Here is a 6,979-nt window from a genome sequence, read left to right on the forward strand (position 1 = left end):
AGATATAGGGGAGAATGTGGGCCAGGTGTGATGACTCACGTCTGTAATCTTAGCACTTTGGGAGGCCAAGGTGGGAGGATCGCCTTGAGCCTAGGAGTTTGAGACCAGCCAGGCCAACACAGTGAGACCCCATCTCCAAAAAAAATAACAGAATGTGGAAAGGCAGGAATAGCCATAGACAATATCCGGGTATAGTTATTAGGAGGAAGTGAACAGGCAAGAATGTGGTACCTGAAGGTCAAGTTTTAGAATTCAGACATGTCCCACCAACAATAATCAGCAGTGCTGGGGGGGTGTCACAAATTCCATCTGGAGGAGCCCTTTTTCTCTGGTCTTCCCAACAAAACTAGCCCAGAGGAGAATCTCATCTCCTGCCTCAGAGGAACAGCTGAACGAAGCTGAGCACCCCCTCTGGGAGGTCAGAAAGTCTTCTGTTCAGGCAGAGAAGCCTAGAAACCAGAGGCTCCCATTCCACTCTCAGGTCAGGAGCTGTATTAGTCAGCTGGAGCTGCCATAACAAAATGCCATGGCCTAGGTGGCTTTAACAACAGAAATTTGTTTTCTCACACTTCTGGAGGCTGGAAATCCAAGAGGAAGGCAGGTTTGGCTTCTCCTGAGGCCCTCTCCATGACCTGCACACAGTCTCCTTCTGGCTTTGTCCTCGTTTGGCCTTTTCCCTGTGCATGTGCATCCCAGTGCATCTTCCTCTTTTATAAGAATGCCAGTCGTGGAGGATTAGGACTCCACCCTTATGCACTCATTTAATCTTAATTACCTCTTTAAAGGGCTCATCTCCAAATAGAGTCATGGGGGATGGGAGGTTAAGGCTTCAATTTATGAACAAGGGATACAATTCAGTCCATAACAGGAGCCCAGTTGATATCTCCAACTCTGAGAGTAAACAGAGGCCTTTTTTTTTTTTTTTTTTGAGAGTCTTGCTGTGTTGCCTAGGCTGGAGTGCAATGACATGATCTCGGTTCACTGCAACCTCTGCCTCTCGGATTTAAGAGATTCTCCTGCCTCAGCCTCCGGAGTAGCTGGGATTACAGGCACCTGCCACCAAGCCTGGCTAATTTTTATATTTTATTTTTAGTAGAGATGGGGTTTCACTGTGTTGGCCAGTCTGATTTTGAACTCCTGACCTCAAGTGATCTGCCTGCCTCGGCCCCCCAAAGTGTTGGGACTACAGGCGTGAGCCACTGCGCCTGGTCCAGAGACCTGACTTTTTTTTTTTTTTCCCAAGCCAAACTGTATCCAGCTTTATTAAAGATACTTTCCATAAACAATCATGGTATTTCAGGCAGGACGTGGGCAGACAATCGTTAACAGTATACAACAACTTTCAAACTCCCTTCTGCAATGGACTACCAAAAATCAGAAAGCCACTATAAACCCAATGAAGTCTTCATCTGGTGCTCTGAACAGGGAAAGTTTAGAGTGAGGGTTGACATTTCACATTTAGCATGTTGTTTAACAACTTTTCACAAGCCGACCCTGACTTTCAGTAAGTGAAAATGGCAGAATTTATCTGAAGATCCACAATCTAGAAATGGAACCACTGCTCTTTTGACAGGTGCCATCTCAGTGGCATCACTGGAAAGTCCAGATTGCCTGACACACTGGTAACCAACGACTAGGGGTCAGGTCCCAACAGATGTCTGGGCTTAAGGGAGTTAAGTCTATGCTGAAAGATGGAAAGGGAGAAGAAGAAATAAAAACAAATTTGTTTTTCCATACCACAAGGCTTTTGTGCCAAGGTGGCCATGTGTGTCAAAGTCAGGGAATCCCTCCTCCTGGGAGCCAAGAGGAAGTCTCTCAAAACTAGAAGGGAAAGGTGTTTTCTCCACATCGATCCAGCTTTGGAGACATTCTATTAGTGACATATGCCCCTTCCCCCCAAAACAATGAAGTGTTCTGTGTGCTAACAACATACCTTTAAAAAAAAAAAAGTAAAACAAAATTCTGCATCTTTATAAAACTTGATAAAAAATAGTATTTCAAGGCCGGTTGCAGTGGCTCACGCCTGTAATCCCAGCACTTTGGGAGGCCGAGCGGAGCAGATCGCGAGGTCAGGAGATGGAGACCATCCTGGCTAACACGGTGAAACCCTGTCTCTACTAAAAATACAAAAAATTAGCCGGGCATGGTGGCGGGCGCCTGTGGTCCCAGCTACTCCGGAGGCTGAGGCAGGAGAATGGCGTGAACCCGGGAGGCGGAGCTTGCAGTGAGCCGAGATCGCGCCACTGCACTCCAGCCTGGGCGACAGAGCGAGACTCCGTCTCAAAAAAAAAAAAAAAAAAATTGTATTTCAAACTGTACAGTCACCAGAAGTACACAGCTATCAAAAATGCACACACTTCACTTGGCATCTCCAGCACCTTCAGCTTTCTGTGACTGGTCTGTTTTGGCATCTCCATTTTCTGCAGGGTTATTCCCCTCCTTGCCAGCATCAGCCTTTCCCTTTTTCCCTTTGGGTACCTTCTCTCCCTTCTTTGCAGAGGCCTTTTTAGGCTTGGGCTCTGGCTTTGGAGGAGCAGGTTTAGCAGACAACCTAGCGGATCTTCTCTGCGGTTCGTCCTTCACCTTGGCTTTATCTCCTTTAGCATCTCCTTCAGCCTTTCTCTTGGGCATGGTGGCCGCGGCGATGGCGACGGCGGCGGGACGTAGGTGCTGGACGCGGGACACAGCGGCGCACGGGCTTTGGTCGGTCCGGGGGTCGTTCTCACCTCTTCTTCATACTGCTCCGATATCTGACTTTTTAAAGCCCTGGTCAGGAATATGCTGAGTCACCCCTGACTCCCACCTCTAGTTGTAACTTACATTGGTTTGTTCTTCCATTTACTTATATCACAAGTATTTATTGAGTTCCAATTATGTGCCCGGCACTATATCAGTACTGGGGACATGGATGTTGACATTGGACAGGTGACTGCAGTGCCATATGACAGAGGCATGCTCACAGCGCTTATGGTCAGGCTGTTGGTGGGATGCCCTGCAAGCAAAGACACCAGACAAGGCTTTCTAGAGGACATGCGATGGGAACCCAGTTCTGAAATACAAGGCAGAATTATCTGGTTGGGGAGTGGATTTGTTTAATCAGTGGGTCCCTATTTGCCTAGACTTGTACAGGAGAGGAAGGTAGAGTTTATATAAAACTTTTCTACTCCAGGTGTGGCCCACAGATCAGGAGTACTGGAATCAGCTGGGAGCTTCTCAGATAGACTCACTCTCAGAGTCCATCCCAGGCTTACTGAATCAAAAGCTACAGTTTAACAAGCTCCCCAGGGCACAGGTGAACATTAAAATTTGGGAAACACTGATGCGGTGCAATCCCATTGCTTCACAGATGGACAAACCAAGACCCAGAGAACAAGTGATTCTTTTAAGATAATACAGATAACACAGCATTAACAGGAAAGAAAGAAAAGTCTTAAATCTAAATTCAACACTCCCCTTCAGTCCGATGGATTGACACATTTCCCAGTCCACCTACAACTTTCACATCACATTATGATGCCAGATCTTTCTACCAACAAGCCCTTTGGCTATGCCTAGAGGACTCATTATTAGCTCTCACTGATCAGGTGAGAACATGGGGGCCCCAAAAACGGACCTCTATTGACACTGTTTCTGATTTGGGAGCGTTTGGGCTGCTTTGTGGGTGTCTTTTATATTCTTCATTTATTTACTTAAATGGCAGACATTGCTAATTGTTTGGGTCAGGGAATATCAAGCCTTGAGCCTGGTTTAAGGTGCTTTGAGACCCTTACACCCCTAGACACCTCACAGAAGCAAATGTAGAGACTTTCTGAAGGAAAGGGCCTTCAACATAGGCCTCATATCATTTCTACACATAGTTTTTCAAATGCAGTGTCCAGGCTGGGCACAGTGGCTCACGCCTATAATCCCAGCACTTTGGTAGGCTGAAGTGGATCACCTGAGGTCAGGAGTTTGAGACCAGCCTGGCCAACATGGTGAAACCCCATCTCTACTAAAAATACAAAAAATTAGCCAGGTGTGGTGGTGGGCGTCTGTAGTTCCAGCTACTCAGGAGGCTGAGGTGGGAGAATAGCTTGAACCCAGGAGGCAGAGTTTGCAGTGAGCTGAGATCATGCCATTGCACTCTAGTCTGGGTGACAAAAGGAGACTTTCAAACAAAACAAAACAAAAAAACCCAAAAGCAGTGTCCAGCACACAGTCGTAGATAACTCATAGAGTACAAGACTGGCAATTGGCAGGAAAAAAAGACAAATAATAGAAACAGATCTGCAAAGAGTTCAAATATTGAATTATCAGATGTAGACTTTTTAAACAAATAGCTGAATTTATTTTATTTCATTTTATTTTTCTTTTTAGATTAGGATTAACCTTGTGGAGCAGAGATAACTCATAGGCAGTACACACACAGTCAGCCTGAATTTTTTTTAAGGCAAACTTGTTGATATATTCAATGAATTGGAAACTACGAAAATCAATGTAGTCAATTTTTTTTTTTTTTTTTTTTTATCTGAGACAGAGTCTCGCTCTGTCACTCTGGCTGGAATGCAGTGGCGCGATCTTGGCTCACTGCAACCTCTGCCTCTCGAGTTCAAGTGATTCTCCTGCCTCAGCCTGCTGAGTATCTGGGATTACAGGCACATGCCACCATGCCTGGCTAATTTTTGTATTTTTAGTAGAGACAGGGTTTCACCATATTGGTCAGGCTGGTCTCAAACTCCTGACCTCGTAATCTGCCCGCCTCAGCATCCCAAAGTGCTGGGATTACAGGCGTGAGCCACCGCACCAGCCTATGTAGTCTATTTTTAAAAGAACCAAATAGAACTTCTAGGGAAAAATGTAATAACAAACATATATGCATGTGTAAATATATATATAAATGCCTACATGCTAAGTTCAGCAGATAGGTTTAATGACAAAAACTATAAAACTGAAGAGGGAAGTAGGGAATTGGGAGACAGGACTGGAGAACGTGATTCTGCTGCTGGACGGCGAGCCCCACAATTGGGGCTTAGCCCTGAAGAGTTCTCAGCTTCATCCAGGAAAGAATTCAAGGACAAGCCTGTGGTGTTAAATAGCAATCTTATTTGAATAGCACCTCTCCCTACAGAGCAGGGGTAACTCACAGGCAATGAACCCAGAGTCTGCAACGTATGGGCTGTTGGCAACTCTATCTACTTGTACCCACTTTCAATTACTTGTATATTAAGGGGCAAGCTGATGCAAATTGAGGGCCAAGTTATTTAGAAAGATCTAGTAAGTTACTACTCCTTTCCATGGCAATGACCCACAAAATTTGTCGTCATGGAAAGAGGCAGTAACTTCCGGGTCGTTGCCATGGCATTTGTAAACTGTCATGGCGCTGGCGGGCGTGTCCTATGCTAATGAGCAATGAGGGCGGCTAGGGATTGCTTTTGTCGCCATCTGCTGGTTTCCACCGGTTTCTTCACTTCATCCTGTGTGGACCATCTTTTGGTCAGCAGGACTGTGACCAGAAGACAAGTCCTGCCAGTCTCCTACCTCATTTCCAAGAGACAAAAAGATAGGATGTGCAGCGGAATAGAAAAAAGACTTAGAAAACATATTTTAAACATCTAATGAACATGTTGTCAGACACCCAGAAGGAGGAGTGAGAGAATGGGCAGTGACAAAATTGAAGATGGAGTGGCTGGAAAGAGGACCTTCACAGCACCACCCACGAGTAAGGGGCTGCTGTAAAGAGACAGAGGTGGTCGCCATGCTCCTGCAGCCCAGTGGGTTCCTTTTTGGAATCAGAGAATCAAAATAAAAGGGCCGAATTCCACCTCCAGTCTCATTCTTGGCTTCGATATTTCCCCTCCAGATGTCTTTTTATGTCTTTTTCATCTATTTCCAGTAGGTCCTTATTCTGTGTGAAAAAATTAAAAATCCGGTGTTTATTTTGGATTTCACAGACACAGCAGGCACAGTCCCTAGACAAAAATACATAACTCAGTGCTCAAGAAAGAGTTTTGTGTTTCCTGGTGCTGTGCATGTTAGAGGCACCTGGGACAGGGAGCAGATCTCTCTGGAGTCTGAGTGGCAGGTCTGCTGCCTGCAAATGTGTGGTCTGTGCACCATACGAAGGTGCCTGCTAAGAGGACAGGGTCCTGAATTCCAGCCGTGGCTCTGCTTGACAAGCTGTGTGCTCCAGCTAGGGCCTAACAGAAGGCTGCCTTCTACCAAAGGTGTTACACCAAGCTATGAGGCCTGCATTTGCCCAGAGCAGGCCCTTTTTCTGTTTTGCACAAAAGCACTCATTGATTAATGGTGTTCCACCCAACTGTCCACTGGAGAAGTATCTAACAAGAGACAAATCCATTCTCAGGTACTTCGCAAAGGCCAACCAAGGCTATGTAATGGTGTGTGTGGGGTACAGCATGGTTGTAGGGTGGCCAACTGTGGGAACCCCACACTGAGGAGTTCCCTGCCATGTGTGGCTGCTATGCTAAAGTCAAGACAGTGTCAGCAAACCCAGATGGTTGGTCATCTTACTCTTGGAGCTCCCTCAAGTTTGGGCAGCTTTTGACTGTCACTACAGAAAGGACTGAATTATTGGTGTTGCCCTTTCCCTTCCCCTGTTGTTCCCTTGCCTTGTGCTGACACTTACGTTTGTAGGGCACAGACCATGTCGCAGCAGGAGGAATTCTCCCCATACAAACTTCTATCTCTGACCTTCTGGTTGTTATACAGAAAAGTACTCATATTTTATGGCCAGGTGTGGCAGCTCATGCTTTTAATCCCAGCACTTTGGGAGGCTGAGGCAGGTGGCTCACTTGAAGCCAAGAGTTCTTTTTTTTTTTTTTTTTTTTTTGAGACAGTCTCATTCTGTCACCCAGTGGAGTACAGTGGCACAATCTTGGCTCACTGCAACCTCCACCTCCTGGTCAAGTGATTCTCCTGCCTCAGCCTCCCAAGTAGCTGGGACTAGAGGGATGGGCCACCATGCCTGGCTAATTTTTGT

The 6,979-nt window shown here is 46.1% G+C and overlaps 1 pseudogene, besides 1 other annotated feature; it reads right to left on the minus strand.

The window, feature by feature from the left end:
* Positions 1,239 to 2,746, minus strand: HMGN2P7 (high mobility group nucleosomal binding domain 2 pseudogene 7; annotated as a pseudogene).
* Positions 5,484 to 5,683: an enhancer, noted in NCBI's record as "active region_19531". NCBI's record gives its function as "activates an Ori minimal core promoter by ATAC-STARR-seq in GM12878 lymphoblastoid cells {active_cell/tissue: GM12878}" and the evidence as "EXISTENCE:reporter gene assay evidence [ECO:0000049][PMID:35858748]".

Source organism: Homo sapiens, chromosome 3, assembly GCF_000001405.40.
Source record: "Homo sapiens chromosome 3, GRCh38.p14 Primary Assembly".
In the NCBI taxonomy this organism is placed as follows: Eukaryota; Metazoa; Chordata; class Mammalia; order Primates; family Hominidae; genus Homo; species Homo sapiens.